Raw genomic sequence first — 26085 nt, forward strand, 5'->3', positions numbered from 1 at the left:
CAGCTGGTGCAGACATCAGCATAGGGGAATCTAGGCCTGAGAAAGCTAAGGAAGTCTCACTATGTCATGGGCACCAGTCATGGCTGCCAAGCTTCTCCAAGTTCGTTTTCTGTTTTAAGGGATGTTATCAGAGATCCACAAGAATAGGGCAAGCCTTTACTAGGGGTCTGAGTTGAAGAAATTCTGAACTCTTCTTTTCTGAGGTCTTGAGCTTCCTTTAGGGGATCAGTAAAGGGAGAATTTTTGGCTGTTACTGAAAGCAGGCTTACCGGTAAGGCCCACTTTTGTAGAGAGGATAACTACCCCATTCTGTAGACAAAGAAACCAATAACAGAGAGTATTGGCCATACCAAAGTATGGACTCCAAACATGGGATAGCTTTATATTAGTCATCAGTTCTCACCTACCAAAGTATCTGAGACCTTTCTCTTCATAAGTGCTGTCTAGGAGAGACATTGGTTCTTTGTCATCTGAAAGAGAAGCCTGGGAATGCAAGATCTGAGAAGAGTGGTAGGTTGGGAAAAGGGAGTTGGAGTTCCTCAGATAAAGGGAGGAGGTTGAGTGTGCAGTGTCCAGTCACTGGACGAGAGATGAAGATTCAGTGGAAAAATAGGAATGGGAATAGGTAAGTCTTCCTCAGAAAAGGAGAGATATGATGAAAGGATCCAGGGCAGTCACAGCCACGGTCTCTGGTTGCCAGAAGCAAACAGGGGTAGGGGTTGAAGGCATCAAGGATACCCAAGGGCTGAACCCTCCCAGAAGCAATAGTTCCACATTTCCCTGCTAAATACAGGTAGGGTGTGAAGTGACAGGGCCCACTAGACCAGAGGAGGGCAATTTCAAGATGGAAAGTAGGCCCAATTCCAAAAACAGGCTCTTAGGAGTTTACCAGAAAACTATTTCCAGGGACTGGGAGTGATTAGTCATTTCAGAAATCACAAATCTATGACTGAGCAATTCTCATCCTGGTTTAAACATGAGTGCACTGGGGGATAAACTGTTCATTGTGAGATCAGTCTAGTGTATGAGAAAAAGTATTTCTTTTAATAGAATGCAGTATAAGAGAAAATATCAAAGTACATTACAGGTAATTAGGGTAAGGGTCTCACGAAACAGAATTTGTTGGTTTACATGCATGTGTTAGATACACACATGTGAACACACTCTTCTTCGAGATCTTATCCACATCACTCCTCCCTCAATGTAGCCTGCTCAGTGAGGTCTTTTCCTCTCCATCCTATCTAAAATCAAACCTTGTATCTGACAACTTTTCCTATTTTGATTTTTCTTTATGGCGCTTATCATAGCCATCTTCTTTTCTTTTTTCATTTTTGTGTTGTGGACTGACTTTCAATAGATTACAGAGCAAATGTACTTTCTCAATATGACTGCTGGAAGCAATAAGGACACAAACTCTCTGGTCTACAGTGACCTCCCAATAAAAATATTCTAGGAGGGCTTGTCACTGGCCTATTTTACAACAAACTATCATTTCTGGATCAATACAAATGTGGAGGACATGAAGACACAGTACTCTGCAGAGCCAGGATTGGGGTAAATGCCACCCCGTGATCACAATGACATGTTCTATTACTAGAAGAATGCAGAAAAGTTGCATTGAGCAGTCAAAAGCAATAGTCATAACACATATTTAAGTACATAATAAAAATGTATCAAACTAACACAAGAAAGGGTGAATTAATCAAACAGTGCAGGGACAACTGGCTATTTATTTGGAAGAATACAGAGCTGCTTACCTTACACCACATACAATAAGAAACACCACAGGGAGGTATGAATAATGTAATTTAATATAATGTCTGCTTCACACATGTTGAAGGAGAGACATACCTGTGTAGTTCCAAAGGGAGTTTACTTATGCTAACAGGAAAGCAGAACAAACAGAAACACTTAACTTGCAACTAGTAGAATAACTTTATTTCTAACACTGAGCCTTCTACATAGGAATTTACAGAAATGAATAACACTGTGCTGCTTATTCTCCATTTCTCTTCCCAGATTCTCTCTCCACCCTTCTCTGTGCCCACCTGGGCTCTCCAGCAGATGTATCTGGTTGGTTTCTCCAAAGAGAGACACCAGCAATTTGGCACCACAGTTCTGGTAGTAATGATGTCTCTTACAAGGTGGCCCCTCCTTCATGACAGCAGTTCTTACTGGGCTCTGGTAACACTGTTTCCCTCCTTGCCCTTCAAGGCTCAGAATGGCAATGGCTTCCTGCTGATACAAGTCTCTGGGTGTTTCACTGTCCCTTGTTTCTGGCCCACACCACTGTAATCAGTCTGCCATTAAAATATTTTTAGTTGGAGAATTCTGTTTTCCACCAGAAAGAACCATGGCTGATACAAACAGCCATCCCTATATTAACTTGTGAAAAGAAATAATTCTTCCCCCTAATTACCATATAGAACATTAACACTTAGAAAAATATTCCTCTGTGTCAGCTGGAATGCCTTCAGCTCTAAGTATCAGACAGCCCTAAGACCAAATAAAAAACAGTTATTGAGGGTTATAAAAAGTCCCAGTAGAGAACAGGTATAGAGAGCAGAGTAGCTCGGCAACGTCACCTCTGAGCTGGCTTTTCCCACCTTGTGCACTGTTATCTTCAGGCTACTGCCCTTCAGAGATAAAAACGATAAGCCAATACCATGTTACAGACATGAAAAAGCCCAGCAGAGTCTCTTCTCATGTCATGACAATGTTGTATCAAGGAGATCTTTCCCAGAAGTACTACACAATACTTCCCAAACATCTCATTGCTCCCAAGTTCACCCCAACAGAATCATTAAAATGGAACTTCCATGATTAGCTTTGACTAATCTGGACTTACCACCTAAGTCATCTGGGAGAAGGATGCACAAAAATATAAAATTTAGCTCAGCAAGGATGAAGTAGGGAATGGCCATCATGTGGGCAGTGTCTCTTAGAACTGCTGACCAATGTGTTCCAAGGGGGCAAAAGAAACAACAGGACAAGGGAGGCAGAGATACTCTAAAATACTAATACGCAGAACTAGTGTTACATAGACCGTGCCCAAACAGATACACAATGAAAAATCAAGGATATCAAAAGGGCCTTTCATTACATACCGCCACTTTTTGAGGAGTGCAGTGTTACTGCTTGTTAACCTTTGCATAATTTATGTAAAAACCATTCTTATTAACAACATTTACATTACAGAATGACCCAGAGGTAGCTGAAAAACCTCAGAAAAGTACTGTTTAACTTCTTTACTGAAGTGATAGTTCAATAATGGCCATATTCATGCATATATGCCAGGAAACAGTCAGAGGAAAGGTACGTGATATAGTTCTTTGTGAAATAATATTTCACTAAAAACATATACTGGCCAACCTACAAAGAGACTCCGGTAGTATTTAGAGTAGGACAGATTCAGAGGTAGTTAAAAACCTCACGGAAATATTTTTGGCTTCTTTCTTGAAGACGTGGTTCAGCTGTAAATGGCCATAGCCATTTATTTATGTCAGGAAATAGAAGGGGTATGTGGTTTGTATTGCCAAATACGTTTTCATATATACACAGTGATGTGCTGTAAATATTTGACAGCAGGTTCTCTGAGAAAATTAAAACCCTGATTTATAGTTTGTCAATTTCCATGGTGTAAACACTCCCACTAAGTCCAAGCTACCAAGACAGCACTGAATGTGGAGCTGGGAAGAGACAGATGTGCAGTGCACACTATTATACAGTATTTTCATCATACAGATTAAATAAGTAAAACAGCAAAGGTAATAGTGAAATGTAGCAAAATAATTAGGAAGTGATGAGTGCTGAGTATTTATTACCTTTGTTTTTAACTGTAAGTTTACATATTTTAAATAATGACTGCTTTTAATAACTGGCTCACAAAATTCCTTAAAATTTAACAATCAGAACTTTTAAGTCAGTATGAGGTTATACTAGCACATCACTATATTTAAGTATGTGTGTAGAAATATATTTACATATACACACAAACATATGTACATACACATATATAATTATGTCAACCTATAAAGACACCAATGGTATTTAGTGTAGAAAATATTAACAAATACCATAGTAGTTACTCAATTAAGGGTACGTATCTTCTCCTTATGATCATGTTGAGTTCCAATATACAAATCAAGCATACTCAAATTTATATATTTGCATACTCACATAAGGTCTACAAACATCGGGGACTCTTCACATATATGTTTAATGCTGCTGTCATTCAACTTTTATAAGCTTCAGATTCCACTGTGAATATGGGTATAAATAAATATTGTCCATTATATTTGCAACAAAATTTTGGTATCACGTCTGGAATATAACACTAAACAACATAAATTCCAGATAAATATTTTCACCATATTACTTAGATGAATAGAATTCCCCTCAGTACAAATTTTCTAATGAAAAGTTTTAATTTTTCTTGAAAGCTTTTACATATTCAAACAAGAAGTCATTTTCTACAAATTTCTGACATTCTTTGGCTTTCTCTGATCTCCTTTTTTGAAACTGTATAACCAATTTCACAAGTGTATGAAGGCTTCTAACATTCAGGATGTTGAAAGAGCTTTCACCCTTGTGTGAATTCTCTGATGTTTGGTGAGCACTGACCTCTGACTAAAGGTCTTCCCACATGCATTACACTCATACGGCTTCTCCCCTGTGTGAGTCCTCTGATGTTTAGTGAGAGCTGATTTTTCACAGAAGGTTTTCCCACATTCATTACACTTATATGGTTTCTCCCCAGTGTGAGTTCTTTGATGTACAATGAGGTTTGACTTCACACAGAAGGATTTTCCACATTCATTACATATAAACGGTTTCTCCCCTGTGTGTGTTCTCTGATGCACAGTGAGGGCTGATCTGTGGCAGAAGGATTTCCCACATGCATTACATTCATAGGGCTTCTCCCCTGTGTGTGTTCTCTGATGTTCAGTGAGGTTTGACTTCACACAGAATGTTTTTCCACATTGCTTACATTCATAGGGTTTTTCTCCTGTATGTGTTCGCTGATGGTTGGTCAGGTGTGGTTTCTGGCAAAAGGCTTTCCCACATTCAGTACATTCATAGGGCTTCTCTCCTGTGTGTGTTCTCTGATGTTGAGTGAGGTTTGACTTCTCCCAGAAGGTTTTCCCACATTCACCACATTCAAAGGTTTTTTCTCCTGTGTGAGCTCTCCGAAGCTGGGTAAGATGTGACTTCTTGCTGAAATTACTCCCATTTTCATTGTAATCATAAGACTTTCCCCCCATGTGTACTATTTGATGTTTTAAGAGAGCTGACTTTTCCCAGGTTTTGTCACTCACTTTATATTCACGGAGAATCTTTCTTGTGTAAGCTCCCTGATGGATAATGAAAGCTGAATTGTCACAGAAGATTTCCCCATATTCATTATATTCATAAGGATTGTCCTTTGTAAGAGCTCTCTGATGTCCAAACCTTAAATTCATGCAGAAGGACTTCCCGCAAATACTGCATCCATACGGCTCCATTTCCAAATGAGGTCTTTGAGATATATTCAGCTTTAAACTTTCAATGAAGGTTCTTCCACATTCGTTATATTTACAGACTGTCTCTCCTATCTGAGATCTCTTATTTGTAAAAAATGCTGCCTCATCATGGAAGCCTTGTCCATTTTTACTATACTCAAAAGATTGGCCAAAACTTGGCTGACTGAGATCCTGGTGATAATTAATGGCATTCCTTTTTTGATCATATTTATAAGACTTCTCTCCAATAGGGATTTTCTCATGCCTAATATCAAGGAGCAATTTCTCACATACATTAAACTCATCAGGCTTCTTTCTGGAACAGTTCTTTTTACTAATAATTAAGCCCGAAATATTTTTCAAATTCATTTCACATGAGTCACATATTTTATAGGGATAATTTCTTAAAGAAACAGGGTCTGTGCCCAAATTGAAAGTTTTGCTTCCTCTATCTCCATTTTCTACACTTACTGTTTTGTTGTTGTGGAATAGAAGCTCCCAAAAATGGTCATCTTCATTTTCCTGGCTGCTCTCTAACACGTCATCAACTTTCCATTTCCTTTCTAGAAATGAGAAAAATAACCACATCTTATGAACCTTAATACATTTCTGATGGAATCAGACTTTTACACAAATGCACTATCATACAGTCAATTCTTTTGTTTTAAATTCAGTTTCCTGGTGTGAACTGAGTTCAAGTGTACATTTTCTTTACCCTCCAAGGTTTAGGTGGAAAACATAAAACATGCTTCAGTGGAAACAGGGAGAAGAAATTGGCAATGATATTTAACACTTTATAAATATAACCTTCAAAACTGAAAAGAAAAGGTGAAATAAAATTCACAGCACAGGGAACCAGAGTGGCTGATTCAGAAATAGAAAAACTCGGAGAAAATGGGGTGAACCCAACAGAGACAATGAACACTGAATAAAGTGATGGTGAAGATTAGCAGACAAGGGGTTTCAGAGGATGCATTAGGTTTGGTGGAGACAAAACAGAGCTTGGTCCTAATCCCCTCACACACAGTTTACTGGGGTAGAATTCCCACCAGAGTACATGCTTCTTTCTATCTTTGAATCAGCAAGAAAATTAACATTCTGAAAACATCAACTTCCTTGGATTCAAAAGAACAGTCCTATATAGCCCAAGAGCCAGTGTTTTCTTTAAGTTTTATTGAGAAGAAATAGTTTTTTTTAATGCTGTAGGAAAAGCATACTAGGGAAGGTGAAATAAACTCAAGACATGATAAACAGGAGATGGAGATATTCTGAGAGCTGTTCTTTCAAAGAGCAGGAAATGCACAGAGAATGAGTTCAAGGGAGTTGTTTTTTTAAAAAGGAAATAGAGTGAGTGGTAGTGAGAAACATAAGAATTAGGTTTGGCAGAGGTAAAGCATGGTTTACACCCTCATCTTCTCAACATCATGCAAATCTATTGAAAATATTTCTGTGCAGTTTGGCTAGAGATTAGACTCTCAGAAATTGCTCATCCCTAATAACATACCTTCCACTCAACTAGAAACATTTTATCCTTATCTCTCCTTAGATCCTGGATATCCCTCAGTGAACTGCTACTTTAACTTAAAAACAAAAACTAATAATAGTAATAATAATAAAATAATGATAGCAAAAATCTCTATAACATCTCTACCATTTTAAGGCTCCACTTGCTCCATCTTTTAGAAGTTACTGTTTATATAATTCATTGTAACATAAAATAAATCCCTTGCTCAATGCTATCGCCCCTATTGTGACCAGAGTCCAGAACTTGGCAGGTGTTACTATAATGTAACTGTACATTATTCTTATAAAGCAACGTGCACTGAATTATTTCCAACCTGCACCTGATCAGCTATAATACACGAAGACAAAATATGGGAATATGTATTTAGGAAGAGTATCATAGAATACTTTCAGAATGTATGAAAATGAATGATCTCTCCTAAATCTGGCTACACAGATAATCAACAAAGTAATTATCAAAATACCCAAATTAGTAAGAGAGGCCCTTCTCTTTTGGAGAACAAAAATCTCAATGCAAAAAGAAACCCTAAGCAACCCTAAGCCATATGAACAGGTCTAAGTTTTTGGCATACAGCCACTGGTGAGTTAATGTCATAAAATCTGGGCTATTTAAGTTTCAGCAAAAAATCAAGTTCTAACTTAAAACAAGTGAAATAATAAGCCATTACTATTCAATTTCTAAACACTTTACAAACACAGTATGAATTACCTGAAAAAAGGCAAGGCAAACAAGAACGGAAGTTTTCCAGTAAATGAGAAAACATTTGCAAATAAAATTTAAGATATAGAATAGGACGGGATTTGACATAAATTTTAGGGAGCAGAAACAAAGAAATTTAAGACAGGTAGCAAGGGCTACACTATTATAGTCATTGAAAGGGAAATTTACTGAGCAGCTCCCTTGCTGCAATCTATTGAAAGTCAGCCCTTGACACAAAGGTTTAAAACTAAAAAAAGAAAAGAAAAGAAAGGGAAATTTAATTTATTAATAAGCAGCAACTTTAGGTTAGTTTGTTAAGCTAAAGGAAGATAAATTGAATAATTTAGGCTAAAAAAAAAGAGAAAAGAACCAACTAGGAATTAGAAATTAGACAACTAACAATTAGACTGAGTCAGGAATGAGAACACATAGTTTTGCTTTTGAGTTATATCAGTGAAAAGTGAGAATATAAAGGTATGTAGAAGATAGCTTTAAATGAAAAATAACAATAGGAACAAAGAGACTGGTGGGAAATATTAACAGGTTTATTAGTACGGTGATGCCATGGTTGCCATTCAAGATAGCAGTAACATGGAAGAATGTACCTCATTTGACTACAGGAAACCAGGCTCTCTGGTTTTTGTGTAGCTCAGATTGTTATTCCTCAATATCCTCTAAGGGATGAATTTAATACTTACTAAAAGCATTATTGTCCCAAGACTACTCTCACCTACATACAATCACACTCTAGAAAAGGGGTTGGCATATAACTGCACGGCAATGGCCCTTGAGCTAAGTATGTTTTTTAAGTTTTTGAAGGGAAAAAGCTGGATGAGGCAGTACAGAAGAGGGAAGAGGAAAAGAGAGGAGAGAGAAAGAGCAAGAGGAGAACGAGAAGGAATAAGGAAAAGAAAGAAGATGAGGAGGAGCAGCTGCAACCACGACCATATGTGGCCTGCCAAGCCTCAAACATTTACTATCTGGTCATTTACAAAAAAAGTCTGTTGACTTCTGCTCTTGAAGATCTCATTCTGCCTCATTCCTTTAACATCATCTTAAGTTGATGCCTTTCAAATGGATACTTCTAGTTCTGACCTCAACCATGTACTTACACATATCCAATCTCTTAGTCAAAAACAGACTCGATTATAAGAGTTATCTCCAACTTCTGGTGTTCAAAATTAAATCTGTGATAACTCCCTTATATGTCTCCTCTCTAATTTTTCTCTGTCTCAGTAAATGATAACCTAATCTATCTAGCTGCTTGAGACAAATTATTGGGATCACACTTGATTCTCCCTTCTCTCATACCCAATCTGAAAGCAAATGTTCTTGGCTCCATCTTCAAAATATTTGTACAAACCTACCACTTCTCAGTACCTCTGGCACTTCCAACAGTCTCAGCCACTATCCTCTCTCCTCTGAAGCACATAATGGTACCCTATCCCTACTCATACCACCCACAACCACCCACCACAGTATATACACTGCATAGATGTCAGAGAGATCCTTTTAAACTGTAAATCAAATCTGATGACTTAAGCTGATTTACATTTACTCAAAACAGTTTCTCATAGCACCAAAAGTAAAATTTATGTATCTACCATAGCTCATGTTTCTTCTCCTGACATTATCTCCTACCAGTCTCCACCATGCCCGCTAGCTTCCAACCACAGTGATTTCCCTGACACTGTTCAAACATTCTAAGAACACACCTGTCTAAGAGGTTTGGTACCTGATGTTCTCTCTGCCTGGACTACACTGAATCCACATAGCTCACACTTTCATATTAAAGCCTCATCTCTAATGTGGGAACTCCTCAAAAAGGTTTTCTCTAACCTACTGCCAAACAGACTATACCGTCATTCTTCGTCCTCCTTTCCTGTGTGAATTCTCTTCACAGCACTTACCATGACCCAACACAGTGTGTGTGTACCTATATACACACACATATGCACATGGGTGTGTACATATATACAAACACACAGACATGTACACACACACACACACACACACACACACACACACGCATTTTTTTGTCCTTTATTTTAATACACACACTAAGATACCAGGGACATTATTCTGTTAATTACCTAAAACATAACAGACATAGTGAGTGCTCATCATATGTTGTTAAATGAATATATAGAAGGATTGCATGAATACCTGTCAGCTAACAAAAGGTGTCTAAGACAACGGAAGGAAGGCAAACAATTTTAAAAGATAAAGACAAACTAACCAAGAAAACATATCTAAAATGAAGCCAACTGGTTTGGATTATAGGTATAAGTAAAATACTTTAAAATGTAAAAAAAAAAAAAAGTGTTTGTTTTTTTTTGTTTGTTTGTTTGTTTTGAGACTGAGTCTCACTCTGTCACCAGGCTGGAGTACAGTGGCACAATCTCGGCTCACTGCAACCTCCACCTCCCAGGTTCACATGGTTCTCCTGTCTCAGCCTCCCAAGCAGCTGGGACTACAGGCAGCTACCACCACATCCAGCTAATTTTTCATATTTTTAGTAGAGACGGGGTTTCACCATGTTGGCCAGAACAGTCTCGATCTCTTGACCTCGTCATCCGCCTGCCTCAGCCTCCCAAAGTGCTGGGATTACAGGCGTGAGCCACCGCACCCAGCCAAGAAAAGCATTTATGAGTGAGAATAACATATGGAGGAGTGATTAAGGTAACAGGGATGTGGGCCAATTGTTTTTGATCATTTCCAAAGGTCTGGGGCTAAAAAGAGACATTTGTGAAAAATATTCCAAAGGTGACAAATCCTAAACCAATTACCTAAGTTCTAATTTCCTCTGGCTTTCATCTGCCAGAAATCACTAACTCACCTGGGTGGCACTGGCTTGGGAATCCTTTTTCTAATATCCAGGGCTCTTCTCCTTGCTCGATCTTAAAGATCACTTCTGGTTTAGTAATGCAATACCCTGTTAAGAGAAAATACCACAGGACTAGAGCTAAATAGCTTGGTTTCAGGGGCTCTGAATACATCATGGGGAAGAAAGGCACAGCTTCACCAGCTACTCAAAGAATGTGCACAAATGAACCAATCTCTGACAAGGCAAGAGCACCTTTATGGTGGCCAAATGGGATCAGTCATCTCAGAGCCTTCAATCTCAAGCTTTACATCAGAAAACTACAGGGCATCAACTAGTAAATGCATGCTATTGATAGCCATGTGCGGAAAAAAACTCCTTACCTACTGAGACAAGATTGCTATAATTTTCCAGGATCACATCTCTGTATAGAATCTTCTGAGCAGGGTCCAGCAGATACCACTCTTCCTGAGTGAAGTCCACACATACATCCTTGAATGACACTTGTTCCTGTAATAGTATACTCTTTTTACATGAAATGGTCAGAACTAGATGATACAGAAAAGATTTAAGAGAACTAATCTCTTTAGAGTTTACTAAAAAATGACAGGTTACCTCCCTCTGTGCTGCTATACTATACAGAATACAAAATATCTTGTATAAATTGAGTTTCTACTAAGGGTCTGGAATTGTGCTAGCTGCTGCAAATCCTACTGGTGAAAACAGACAAACATGGTCCCTGTTCCTAGAGTGCTTATGACCTGAAAAGGAGATACACAGAATAACATTTATTAAGTTGCAAACTGCAGGAACTAGCAGTGTGTACCAAGGAGATTGAAGTTACAGAGGAAATATTAGTTGTTTCATATTACCTTTTACATTATCAAGTTAACTGTCATCAAGGAAGTAAAACTTTGTTATTAAAATAATGGGATTGAAATGAATATGACCAAGCTCAGCACATATTGATTCAAGTGACTGCCCCGCAGTCTACATGCCCATCAGAGAAAAGGATGAATCCTCTCCGCTCAATGAGATCATCTTCTGGAGCTTCCACCAATGTTTCCAATGTTTCTTTTTTAAATACAATATTTGGTATCTAGTAAAAAAATTCATGGTATGTGAAGAGATAGGGACAATGAAAAAAAAGAAAAAAAAAGCAAACTCACAGGTGACCGTGATAGTAGAATTAACAAACAAGAACTTCAAAATGAATTATAATTAATATGTTCAACAAAACAGAAGAAAATATTAACAAAATAAATGAGAAAATGAGGGAAGTTCAACACATACATGGTATGTGTGCTATACAGAAAAAGGTTAATACAGCAAGCCTGAGACTACTAACCTTTGAAAGGTCTGCTACAAAAGATCACCGTTGATGGGCATTTGGGAACTTGGATTTCAGAAAGGTTCTGACCTTAACCTTCTCTGATAAGAACGGCTCACTAAGCCTGAGCTATAACCATAAGTAATATGGTTTATACTCAGTATGTGCATTGCTCCTGGGAGTCTAGAATTTTGGTACATGATAGGCAGGAAGTACCTGTGACTAGCCTCTAATAAAAATTCTGGACACCAAATGTCTAGTGAGTTTCCTTGGTACACATTTTACGTGCGTTGTCACATGTCATTGCTAGAGGAGTTAAGTGTGTTCTGTGAGACTCCATTGGGAGAAACCTCTAGGAATTTCGCTGATTTTGCTTTGTATCCTTTCACTACAATAAATCATAGCCATAAGTATGACTATGGGTCTACAAGAAACAATACATCAGTAACAACTGACACACCTAGCACCCTAATTTTTGTTTCTAACGCCATGCTCCAATATATGCTGAGTCATCCTAGGACATCATTAATAACCTGGGGGTGGTCTCAAGACACCTCTTATACATGTATACACAAACACACACACACACACACACATGCACACACACATACATAAAATGGACATTCTAGATCTGAAAAGTACAATATCTGAAATTAAGAGCTTATTGGATGGGTTCAAAATCATATTAAAGAAGACATAATCTGAAACATTTATGCATTTAACGAAAGACTATCAAAATACATAAGGCAAAAACTGAGAGGAGTAAAAGGAGAACTTGGAAATATACACCATAATTGGAGACTTAACACCCCTGTAAGTACTGATGGATCAAGCAGGCAGAAAATCAGTAGGTACATATATGACCCAAAATAGCACTATCAACCAACCTGATCTAAGTGACATTTATACAATACTTCATCCCAAACAATAAAATACACATTCTATCCTTCTGTTCGTGTTCACATGTAACATTCACCAACACAGAACATATTTTGGGCCATAAAACACACCTTAACGAACTTAATGCAATAGCTATCATAAAAAACACATGTTCTCAGACTACAATGGAATTAAATAGAAACCAATAAGCAAGACGGCTGAAAAATCCTCCAAATACCTGAAAGCTAAACAACCATACAAATAACCTATAGATCAAAGAGGAAGTCTCAAAAGAAATTTTTAAATGTTTTAAATGAAAACACTACTTATCAAAATTTATGGGATGCAGAGACAGTAGTTCACAGAGAGAAATTTATAACATCAAATTCATGTTTTGCTCTGCAAAAGATGCTTCTACAAAAATGAAAAAACAAACCACAGACTGAGAAAAAATATTTGCAAACACTTACCTAAAAAGGTGTTAGAAGCAGAATATGCAAAAGGACCCTCAAAACTCAATAATAAGAACACAAATTATGCAACTTGAAAAATAGGCAAAAGATCTGAATGGTCACGTCACCAAAGACAGACCAATAGCAAATACACATATGAACAGATGCTCACCATCATGTGTCATTAAAGAAACAAAAATGAGATACCATAATATTTATTAAAATGGTTAAATTCAAAACAATGACAGTATCAATTTTAAGTTCAGATGCAGAATAACAGGAATTTTGATTCACAATTGGTGGGAGTGCAAAATGATACAGCACCTGTGGAAGACAGTTTGGCAATTTCTTACAAAGCTAAACAATCTAAATTAGCCGGGTGTAGTGGCACACACCTGTAATCCCAGCTACTCGGGAGGCTGAGGAAGGAGAATCACCCAAACCGGAAGGCAGAGGTTGCAGTGAGCCGAGATTATGCCACTGCACTCCAGCCTGGACAAGAGTGAGACTATGTCTCAAAAAAAGAAAAAAGAAAAAAAGAAAACCAGTGCTCCTTTGAAAACCAGCTGCTTCTAGGTCTGGCAGGTATATAATGAGCCTGAAATCACTTCTGGTACCAGAAAATGAGAAAGTACTCAAATGAAAACACAATAGTGGGCTATGTCAAAGGGACACAGGAACCAATTGAAAACACAGCCTCATGGCCAAGCTGAAGCAGTTGGAACAACAAAATAACAAGGTATATGGTTAAACCAAAGGAAGATTCAGATGAAAATCCTTCTTTAAGACTGTCTTCTCAGCTTCTCTGTTTTCTAGCATCTTGTGTCATAGATGAAAAGGCATATGTTCACATGATTTTTTATAGCTATAAATAATCCCTCTCTAGAAGCTAGTAAAATTTTATCTGTGGATTTTTAAAATTTTTACCTGAATGTGTCTAAATGTGCACATTTCTAAAGATGTGTATTTAATTTCCAAGAATGTTTTGATGCTTATTTGTTTTTCAGTAATAGCCTGCTCTTGTTTTATGTGATGATGATCTACTGAAACTTTCTGAGGCAATGACTAAAAGTATTTATTTTAAAGTTATGTTCTATTTCCTAACTTAACTCTACTTCCTTTGGAGTAAATTTCTCTGACCACTTTGTTGTCCTTCTTTCATGCATTAAAAACAAAATTGTCTACCAAAAAAAAAAAAAAAGGTAGTGTTGGATTATAACCAAAGTATAAAATAACTAGCAATGAGTTCATACTAATATAAATAAATGCTTAAATAAGTAAACACAAAAGAACAGACAAATCTCCTGCACAGAATTCCTAATAATTTATATGGATACTCTGCCATCAAGGAGGTGTAGCGTAACTCTCCACTTCATTCCAAAGAGTACAGTTGAAAACGGAGGACAAAGGAGTAACTTTACAGTGGAGAAACATGACCACACTACCTCCACCAGGTAATCAACAGTGATAAATCATGCTCATAGCATTTTCCCTTGATAGGATGTGACTGAATGACACTACCTCTGTAGTCTTCCTCTAAGAAACCCTAACCTCAGTCTAATAATGAGGAAGACAGTAGACAAATATCAACTGAGGGACATTCTACAAAACACCTGACTTGAACCCCTCAAAACTGTCAGGGTTATCAAAAACAAGGAAAGTCTGAGAAACTGTCACAGCTAAGAAGAGCCTAAGGAGACATGATGACTAAGTAGAATGTGGGCATCCTGGAACAGAAAAATTACATTAGGGAAAAATTAAGAAAATCCCAATAAAGTGGTCATCACTTAATAATATATCAGTATTGTTTCATTAATTGTGACAAATGTACTACATTAATATGTTAATGAAACTGTGTCTATGGGAGGTATATGGAAACTCTTTGTACTACTGTCTTCACAACTTTTCCATAAATCTAAAACTCTCCTAAAGCAGAAAGTTTATATAATAAGAAAGAAACATACAAGAGGACAAGATTAATGAAGTGGAATGATGTCAGCAAAATGGAGAGGTAGGTGGCACCAAGCTCAGGTCCCCTCAGAGACATCAAAAAACAAGCAGAAACTGTCAAAATAAACTTCGTCAGAATTCTGAAAAGGTCAAAGGCTGACCGCAACCAAGTAGATGCCAAATCAGAAAGAAAAAATAAAAGGCAACTTCAAAATGGTAGGAAAGCTTTGTGGCACTTCTACTTGCCTTTACCCCAACCCTCCTTGGCTTGGTGACAGCCTTGAGACGGCAGACCGCATTCCAAGTGTGGGTCCTGGTCCTTGATTCTAGAGGGACCAGAGCAGACCTTACTTACAAGGAATTGCTTATCTGTTCCAACTATGTGGGAAATACCTGAAGGACTGATGCAATATGCTTGTCTCTGTTTCACCTAACTCAGAACTCATTTAGGATAGAAAAAAAATAGTCCTTGCTCAAAAACACTGTAAGGGGAACAAAATATCTGCAGTCGTCTGCAGCAGAGGATTATGGTTGAGACATATAGTATACCACTTAAGGCCTGAGAAGAAAACCTGGAAAGGGTTTCTTTGGGAAATTTGGGCTTTCAAAAAACCCCATATATACTGAGAAAATTAGAAATCCAGAAACATACCCAAGGCAGAATGTATACAAGCTTTAAGAAGATCATAAGCTTTCACCTCCAGCTATTCTCGAGGTTCAGTGCAATCAGGACACGAAGGCTAAAGCAAGGTTGTAAACAGCCTGGCTAAATGTTAAAGAGTACCCCAGCGCAGAGTCAATGTGCAAAGACTGAGAGAAATGTTTGTTGTCTTTATCACCAGGGATTCAAAGAAATCTCTGTAAAAACATTAGCTGAAAGCAAGCTAAGGAACAGAGACTTCAGTGTCACATATAGAACAAGGAAACCAGACTATAAAAATAGCATATGGCCGAGCATGGTGGCTCATGCCTGTAATCCCAGCACTTTGGGAGGTCAAGAGGTCAAGACCATTCTGGCCAACATGGTGAAACCCCATCTCTACTAAAAAAAGAAATACAAAAATTAGCTGGGCGTGGTGGCGCATGCCTGTAGTCCCAGTTGCAAGGGAGGCTGATGTAGGAGAATTGCTTGAACCCGGGAGGCAGAGGTTGCAGTGAGCCGAGATTGCACCGCTGCACTCCAGCCTGGCGACAGAGCAAGACTCTGCCTCAAAAAAAAAAAAAAAAGAAAAAAAGAAAAACAGCAAACCTTGGGGAAGCGTAAAAATCTGATTTCCCGACTTACCATATTAAAATATTCAAATGTCCAATTTCCAATAAAAACGTAGAAGGTATTCAAAGACACAAGAATACAGAGCCTACTCAAGGAAAACAAATTCCTTCCTTAAGGAAGCCCAGATATTGGACTTACTAAACAAAGATTTTAAATAAATTAAGTGTCATCAAAAATGACAAATAACTAAAAGAAATGAGGCCAACAATGTCTGAACTGAGTTGGAAATTGTAAAAAGAAACCAAGTAGGAATCTAAAGCTGAAAAGTAAAATGACCGAAATTTAAAAATCCACTAGAGGTTTTAACAACCCATTTGAACAGACAGCTGAAAGAATCATGAATTGGAGAATATAAAAATTGAAGTAATCTGGTATGAGGAGCAGAACAGAAAAAAATATATAAAGAAATGTGAATAGAGCCTAAGGGACCTGTGGGACACCTTTGAGTGGACTATCTATCATACAATTACAGGAGTCCCAGAAGGAAAAAAGAGAGAGAAATGGGGAGAAAGATTACTCAAAGAAATAAGGGCTAAAAACTGCCCAAATTCTAAGAATAACACAAATCTTACATCCACAAAGCTCAACAAACCCCAAGTAAGAAAAATCCAAAGAGATCCACTGAGGCACATTATTATCAAACTATCAAAAGCCAAATAACAACCACAGAGGTCAGACACCATAGAGACCAGAAGGCAGTGGGATGGCATCTTTAAAGTGTTAAGAGGGGAAAAAACAAAAATAAAAATCCTGCCAGCCAGGAATTGTAAACCTGGCAAATTGATCCTTCAAAAATGAAAGAGAAATTAAAACATTCCAGATAAAAGCCAAGAGAACTCATTATCATAAACCCTGCCCTACAGAAAATACTAAATGGAAGGTTGAAATTAAAAGATCTTCATAACTCAACGCCGTATGAAGAAATAAAGAGCTCTAGTAAAAAAAATGTAAGTACAAAAGCCAGCATTTTGCATTTTGTAAGTCCAATTTGTAGTTTGTAACTCCAATCTTTATTTCCTAAAGGAGTTTAGGAAAATGCATACACAGTAATTATAAATCTATGTCATTCAGTGCACAATGTATAAAGATGTAATCTGTAGCAACAACAACGTAGGGAGAAGGCAGCTGGATAGGAGCAGAGTTTTTGTATGATACTGAGACAAAACTGGTATTTAAACTAGATTGTTATAAATGTGGAATGTTCATTGTTAATCTCCATGGTAAACACCAACAAAATATCTTAAAAAATACAGGAAAGGAAATGGGAAGTAAATCAAAATATGCTACAAAAAATCAGCTAAACAGAGCAGTGAAAGAAATGAACAAACAATTCGAAAGACAGAAAAAAAACAGCAACTGGCAGAAGTGAGTCCTTCCTTCTTAGAAACGACTTTAACTATTTCCTTCCTTTCCTTTTCTTTTCCCTTCCCTTCCCTCTCCCCCTCCTCTTCCCTCCCCCTTCCCTCCCCCCTTCCTTCTTCCCTTCCCCTTTCCTTTCCCCTTCCTTCTCCTTCCCTCCTTCTCTCTCTTTCTTTCTTGTTTTTTTGGAGATGGGGGTCTCACTCTGTGGTTCAGGCTGGAGTTCAATGGCTCCAACTAGGCTCACTGCAACCTCTGCCTCCCAGAGGCTGGCTCAAGCGATCCTTCCACCTGAACTTCCTGAGGAGCTGGGACTCCAGGCACGTGCCACCACACTGGGCTAATTTTTGTATTTTTTGTAGAGACAGGGTTTTGCCATGTCAGGCTGGTCTCGAACTCCTGGACTCAAGCGATTCACCTGCCTTAGCCTTCCAAAGTGCTGGGATTACGGGCAAGAGCCACCATGCTCGGCCACCTTTAATTCTAAATAGGTTAAATTCTTCCAAAAAAAAGGCAGAGATTGGCAGAATGGATTTAAAAAAAAAAAAAAACTCATGAAAAAAATTAAGTCACATTCACAGAGTTCAGTGGATCTTAAATAAGAATAAACAAAAGCTAAAACAAAATCAAAAGAGAACTTTAAAAGCAGCCATATAAAAACCCAAAACATTATGAAAAGACAACTTTAAAGTAAAAGGAAAAAACAAAAACTCAAAGGTAGAATTCTATATACAGCAAAAATAAAAGTTTAAGATTTTGGAAATCATAAACAGAGTAATGACAAACAACAGATATGCATTATAAGAAACATCAAAGGGAATTTTCATGAAAAGGAAAAATGACCCAAACTAGAACTATGAAAAGGCAGGAAGGAGTGAAAAGCCTAGAAATGAAGGGGGATAAATGGAGTCAACATGTTTCAAAGTTACAGGTTTAGGTAGTACAATGAATAGTTTGTATTTCATTGTAATATGTCAAAAATGCTCCCTGTAACTTCTAGGATAACCACAAAAGAGTACCACAACACACCCAACAGAAGAGCAAAAATAAAAAATAAAATACCAAGTCTCAGGATGAATATGTGGAATAAGAACATGCACGCACTGCTGCTGGCAAAGTAAACTGGTACAAACCTTGGGCAGCTGGCGAAATCAATGTATAATCTTCATGTACTGATGTATGATTTTTGCCTGTAACTTCTGCTTTCCTGAAATGTACCATCACCTTTAAAAACCCTTGCTTATAAGCCATCAGGGATCACAGGTCTTAGGCGTTAACCACCTAATTCTCCTTGCCCAATGCCCTGCAATAAATGCCTCCATTTCTCTTGCTGCAAATCCCAATGTCAGTTTTAGCTTTTTCTGTGTGCTTGGTGAGAGGACCCAAGTTTGGTTTGGTAACAGAAAGAGGAATTATAGAATTCGAATTTCACCATTTTGCAATCTTTAATGAATTACTAAATTTAGACAATAATCAATGACTTTCAAACATTACAAAAAGACAATGAAGCCAGGTGCGGTGGCTCATTCCTGCAATCCCAGCACTTTGGGAGGCCAAAATGGGAGTATTGCCTGGGCCAAGGAGTTCGAGACCGGCTTGGTCAACAGGATCTGGTGGCAGGACCCTGTCTCTACAAAAAAAAAATTTTTTAATTGGACAGGTATAGTGGCATGCACCTGTAGTTCCAATTACTCAGTAGGCTAAGGCAGGAGGATCACTTGAGCCCAGGAATTCAAGGCTGGAGTGAGCCATGACTGAGCCAATGCACTCCAGCCTAGGGCACACAGCAAGATCCTGACTCAAGAAAACAAACAACAACAAACCGAGAGGACAATGAGATGTTATGTGGCCCTGATGGAAGTACACAACACAATCTATGATAAATTCTTAGCAAAACATAAGCATCAATCAGGATTAAGTTCAACTACTTAGAGAAAATACAGGGATCACAGAAACACGTTAAACATAACCACAGTGACACAACAAGGAAAATCTTCAATAAATACACTACAGTAAATAAAGATATGGAGAAGAAACATACACCTCACAAAGTCTTAAAGATAAAAGACATTTCAACCATATTTGAATTCTGATTTAACAAATGTAAAAAAATGCAAAAACTGGGAAACACCGATTATACATTAAGAAATTTTCAAATTTTGTGTGGTAACTGTATTGTGGTGTTTTGTTGTTGTTGCTGCTGTTGTTTGAGACAGGGACTCACTCTGTGGCCCAAGCTGGAGTGCAGTGGCACAATCTCATCTCACTGCAACCTCCACTTCCTGGGATCAACTGATCCTCCCACCTCAGCCTCCTGAGTAGCTGGGTGTGAGCCACCATGCCCAGCTAACTTTTTATTTTTATTTTTATTTATTTATTTATTTTTTGAGACAGAGTCTCCCTCTGTCACCCAGGCTGGAGTACAGTGGCTCAATCTCAGCCACAAGATTACTATATACACATACATATTTTGTGGCTATAGTTCCTCACCACAACCTCCTCCACTAATATCCTAGTTATTTCTTATTTTAAAACACCATCTCATTTTGGGAAACTTTAAAGTACAACGGATTTAGGTAACAGTGTGGATTACTGCTCATTTTCTTAGCATGATAATTGTATTGTGGTTAGGTAAGTAAATGTCCTTATGCTGAAGAAATTCATACCAAGTTATTTAGGGGTAAAGTGTTATAATGTGGGTAACTTATTTTCAAACATATTTCAGAATAAAATGTATATACAGAGGAGAGATAAAGCAAATAAGGCAAAAATGTTAACTGCTGAATCTAGGTAAAAATTATACAAGTGTTTATTTTGTTGGAAAATTTTCATATTAAAAGTTAAGAAAAAGGCCTCAACTTTCAGAGATACTTACTGATATGTTTACAAAAAAAAATTATCTTGAATTTGATTCAAAATAATCTCAGCAGGAATGGGTCAAAGTAAAAGTGAGAGAACTCTGAGCTGATAACTGGGGAAGCTGAGAATGGGTAGGTACATGGGGGTTAATATATTACTTTCTCACTTTTGTGTAAGTTTGCAATTTTCCAAAATAAAAAGCTAAAAGAAGAATGGGTATTTCTAGCCTGAAATAGATATTTATCTATCCTAACTCCAAAAATATCAGTGAAGAAACATAAAAGAGGCAGGGCACAGTGGCTCACGCCTGTAATCCCAGCACTTTGGGAGGCCAAGGTGGGTGAATCACCTGAGGTCAGGAGTTTGAGACCAGCCTAGCCAATGTGGTAAAACCCATCTCTACTAAAATACAAAAAAAAATTAGCTGCCCATAGTGGCACACACCTGCAGTCCCAGCTACTCGGGAGGCTGAGGCAGGTGAATCGCTTGAACCCAGGAGGAGGAAGTTGCAGAGAGTCAACATCACGCCACTGCACTACATCCAGCCTGGGCAACAGAACGATACTCCCTCTCAAAAGAAAAAAGAAAAACAGAATACAGCCAGGCACAGTGGCTCATGCCTATAATCTGAGCACTTTGAGAGGCTGAGATGGACAGATCGCCTGAGCTCAGGAGTTCGAGAACAGCCTGGCAACATGGGGAAACCCCGTCTCTACTAAAAACACAAAAATTAGCCATTCATGGTGGCCAGTGCCTGTAATCCCAACTACTCGGGAGGCTGAGGCAGGAGAATCGCTTGAACCCGGGAAGCAGAGGTTGCAGTGAGCCAAGATCACACCACTGCACTCCAGCCTGGGTGACAGAGCCAGACAGACTCCGTCTCAAAAAAAAAAAAAAGAATACTCCTGGGAAGGAGCCCCTCAGCAGAAGAAACATTTTGAGTAATTTCTGAAAGATACGGAATGGTAAGATCAAACAGAAGTCAGAGGCATGAAGTCCATTTCAAGCACAGCCACCAGCTTGGAGATGTTCTAGGTTCTGGCAGGAAACCTGCTGGATTTCTTACCTATTATGTTTCCTTACCAATTCATCTACAATCCTTGAATTGGCCTTTCCATTGTGGGAGACAGTAATAGAGGACACACTTCTCAACAGCTGAGTGAATTCACATTAGCTACCTGTGCTGATCAAACTAGTTCTTCACTTTTAAATATGAATGGAAAATAAAGATTTACTAGATATTTGAGGAAAAGCAACAGCATAAAGCATACTCACCAAGATGACTAGAAATGAATGCTAAGAAACCAAATCAATATAAGAAATAGAAATGGAAAATTAATCCTAATATCTTCAAACAGATTTTTAAAACTATTCATTCCATAAACCAAGAACACACTGCCATGATAAGCTTTCAGGGAGAAAGAAAGAGCAGTAAGAAATTAACAACAGGCCAGACATGGTGGCTCACACCTATAATCCCAGCACTTTGAAAGACTAAGGCGGATCACCTGAGCACAGGAATTTGAGGCTGCAGTCAGCTATGACTACTGACTACTACACCACTGTATTCCAGCCTGGGTAACAGAGTGAGATCCTGTCTTTAAAGAAAAAAAAAAAAGGAAAGAAATTTAAAAACATGGTTAAATTGTAAGATTTTCACAAATGGTGAAAAATTTTTTAAATATTTCAAAGAAACGGCCGGGCACAGTGGCTCACGCCTTGTAATCCCAGCACTTTGGGAGGCCAAGGCGGGCGGATCACCTGAAGTCAGGAGTTCAAGGCCAGCCTGGCTAACAAGGTGAAACCCCGTTTCTACTAAAAATACAAAAAAAAATTAGACGGGTGTGGTGGAGGGCGCCTGTAGTCCCAGGTACTCAGGAGGCTGAGGCAGGAGAATGGCGTGAACCCGGGAGGTGGAGCTTGCAATGAACGGAGAGCACACCACTGCACTCTAGCCTCGGCAACAGAATGAGACTGTCTCAAAAAAAAAAAATTTTTCAAAGAACCCTTAAAGATGTTTTAGAAATAGAATGAACATGGAAGACAGTACAAAAGAGAAATAAAAATAAATATAAAGAAGTTCAGGGGGCCGGATGCAGTGGTTCACGCCTGTAATCCCAACACTTTGGAAGGCCAAGGCATGTGGATCACAAGGTCAGGAGTTCAAGACCAGCCTGGCCAAGATGGTGAAACCCCATCTCTATTAAAAATACAAAACTTAGTCAGGCACGGTGGCAGGTGCCTGTAATCCCAGCTACTCTGGAGGCTGAGGCAGGAGAATTGCTTGAACCTGGGGGGCAGAGGTTGCAATGAGCTGAGATCACACCACTGCACCCCAGCCTGGGTGACAGAGTAAGAGACTCTGTCTTAAAAAAAAAATGGCTAACAAAGCACCTCAGGCTTGTTTTCCTCTACCCCAAATGCCCAGCTAAGGGAGCCTAAAGCTCCTTGTATATTAAATAGCTGTCACATTACAAGTGAGCAATTTAAACTGTACCAACTCTCTTTGAACAGCGTTTGCAATTCAACAAGATTTAGTAATACAGAACAGTCATAAATAGTTGCTAAATGAATGAATGACTTGATTAAGAAAGATAAAAAATGCTAACTTCAGGGAAAGGAAAGATATTTGCTGAAAAAATAGCAGAGTCAGTCAAAAAATATCTTACCCTTAAAATCAGTATCTTGATGAAATTCCTATCAAACTCCCAACAAGGATTTTTATAAGCACAGACAAGCTTATTCTAAAACTTATATAAAAGGCATAGGTGCTAAGAATAGCTAAAGCAACTATGAAGAAGAATAAAGTAAAAGGAATCACTGTGTTCAATATTAAACCTTACTATATGGTTACAGTCATCAAGATAGCGTGGTATTAGCAGAGGCACAGACACATACACCAATGGAACATAGAAGATAACCCAGAAATAGGCCTACACAAATATACTTAAGTGATTTCTGACAAAGGTACAAAAGGAGTTCAGTAAAATTTTCACAAATTTGTTGAAAAAAAATTTTTAACAAATGGTGCTGCAAGCAATTGTACATCCATAGGCAAAAACTGAGCCTCAATCTAAACCTCATACCTTACACAAAAATTAACTCTAAATAGATGAAGTACTTAAATATAACATATAAAACTATATAATTTTTAGACAAAAAAAAAGAGAAAATCTTTGCCTAGGGCTAGGCAAGAGTTCTTAAGACTTGATAACAAAAGCATCATCCGTAACAAAATATTGACAAACTGGACTTTATCAAAGTGAAAAACTTTTGCTCTGTGAAACACCCTGAAAAGATAAGCTACCAACAAGGAGAAAATATTTGCAAACCACATATCTGACAAAGGATTACTATCTAGAAAATTTAAAAAACTATTAAAACTCAATACATTAAAAAAAATCCAATTCTAAAATAGTAATGTGGGAGACCAGAAATATGCCACCCCAAAATATGAAGAATTGTTGAGCTGAAGGCAAGAAGTAGACACAAGAAAGCTGTCCTGTCTCTATCTGCCTAAAAGCAGGACATGGATTTACGAAGACAAAAGGTATCCTTGCCTCCCCATCTATCAAGGAGAACAAAGGTTAACAACTGAAGACAACTTGAGAACTGATGGTCCTAGAGATGGTACCAGGGGAATCTACATTAATTAGCTTCACAAACTAGCCTGTATCGGCCATTTATTTGCTTTCCCCCAAGTTGCCAGCCTTAGAGATTCCAAGCCCCTTTCCTTTGTCTTAACGTTTCTCTAAAAATTTCCTGTTCTTTGATGAAGATGCCATATAAGCTGGAATTCAAAGCCACCTCTTTGTGAAACACTCATTCTCTGGGTGTCCCCCATGTATATATGAAACATACTTGTTAATAAACTTGCTTTTCTCTTCTTAATCTATCTCTTGTTACAGGGGTTCAAGAAAAAAAAAATTACCATTCTTCCAGTACAGTTCTAAGACACGAAGGACTATTTCAATGAAGAGAATATACAGGCAGAAAATACACATGAAAAGATTTTCATGCAAATAAATAACAAAAAAAAATCACTATATACCCATCAGAATGACCAAAAAAAAAAAAAAAAAAAAAAAAAACCAGTGCTAACACCAAGTGATGGCAAGGATAGAGAGAAACTGGATCATGCGTACAGTGGCTAGCGGAAATATAAAATGGCATGTTCACAGCAGTTTTATTTTTCATAGCCCAAAATTGGAAGTTAACCCAGAGGTCCTTCAACAGGTGGATGATTAAACTGTGATATATCCAGCCGGGCGCGGTGGCTCACGTCTGTATTCCCAGCACTCTGGGAGGCTGAGGTGGGTGGATCATCTGAGGTTGGGAGTTTGAGACCAGCCTGACCAACATGGAGAAACCCTGTCTCTACTAAAAATACAAAATTAGCCGGGCGTGGTGGTGCATGCCTGTAATCCCAGCTACTCGGGAGTCTGAGGCAGGAGAATCACTTGAACTTGGGAGGCAGAGATTGCAGTGAGCCGAGATCTTGCCATTGCACTCCAGCCTGGGTAACAAGAGTGAAACTCCACCTCAAAAAAAAAAAAATGTGATATATCCATACCATGGACCACTACTTAATAACAAAAAGGAATGAACTGTTGACACATATACAACCCGGATGAAACACCAGGGAATTGTACTGAGTGAAAAAAGCTAACCCCAAGAGGTTAATGTTGTATGTTTCCTTTTCTGTAGCATTCTTGAAAGGACAGAAACAGATTAGTAGGTTGCCGATTAATTTAGGGAGGAGTAGGGGTTGGCTGGGGTTGGGGAATGACAGGGCCAGGATGGAGGTAGGTGTGGCTATAAAAAGGGCAACAGGAGAGATCTTCATGGTAATTCAGCTATTCTGTAGTGGATAAACGAATCTAATTTGTCACTGCACTCCAGCCTGGGTGACAGAATAAGACCCTATCTCTCTCTATATATAGATATAGATATATAGATACAATATATATTTATATATGTTATATATGTAAAATATGTATTTATATATGTAATATATGTATTTATATATGTAATTATATATTTCATATAGAAACAGTACACACATTTTGTGTTTTTATTTAATTTAGAGAACTCAGAGATCTAATAGGTGTAACTGCAGTACCAAAAGGAAAGTAGAGAATATTTGATGAAAAGAAAAGGCAGATAATTTTTTTTTTTAGATGGAGTCTCGCTCTGTTGCCAGGCTGGAGTGCAGTTGCGTGATCTCGGCTCACTGCAACCTCTGCCTCCTGGGTTCAAGCGATTCTCCTGCCTCAGCCTCCCGAGTAGCTGGGACTACAGATGTGCGCCACCAAACCCAGCTAACTTTTGTACTTTATACTAGAAACATGGTTTCACCCTCGATCTCTTGACCTCGTGATCTGCCCGCCTTGGCCTCCCAAAGTGCTGGGATTTACAGGCGTGAGCCACCGTG

At 38.2% G+C, this 26085-nt stretch overlaps 1 protein-coding gene across 70 annotated transcripts in view; it reads right to left on the bottom strand.

Moving 5' to 3' along the window:
* ZNF248 (zinc finger protein 248) overlaps positions 1 to 26085 on the bottom strand; it is a 99566-nt gene that overhangs the window by 68515 nt on the left and 4966 nt on the right. For 22 of the 70 annotated variants that reach the window (NR_147993.2, NR_147994.1, NR_148004.2 and 19 more), the window contains 3 exons: positions 10933 to 11059; positions 10565 to 10660; positions 5973 to 6064 (listed from right to left, as the gene is read on the bottom strand). Coding sequence is in view for 40 of the 70 variants with exons in the window: in NM_001352476.2 (NP_001339405.1) it covers positions 5973 to 6064; positions 10565 to 10660; positions 10933 to 11059 (315 nt within the window). In the remaining 30 variants the exon portion in view is untranslated. Of the gene's footprint in view, positions 1 to 1710; positions 6065 to 10564; positions 10661 to 10932; positions 11060 to 26085 lie in introns of those variants that run through there. The other 48 variants (NM_001352469.2, NM_001352482.2, NM_001267597.2 and 45 more) reach the window with 5 other exon arrangements.

The sequence above is a fragment of the Homo sapiens genome, chromosome 10 (assembly GCF_000001405.40).
Source record: "Homo sapiens chromosome 10, GRCh38.p14 Primary Assembly".
Classification (NCBI taxonomy): domain Eukaryota; kingdom Metazoa; phylum Chordata; class Mammalia; order Primates; family Hominidae; genus Homo; species Homo sapiens.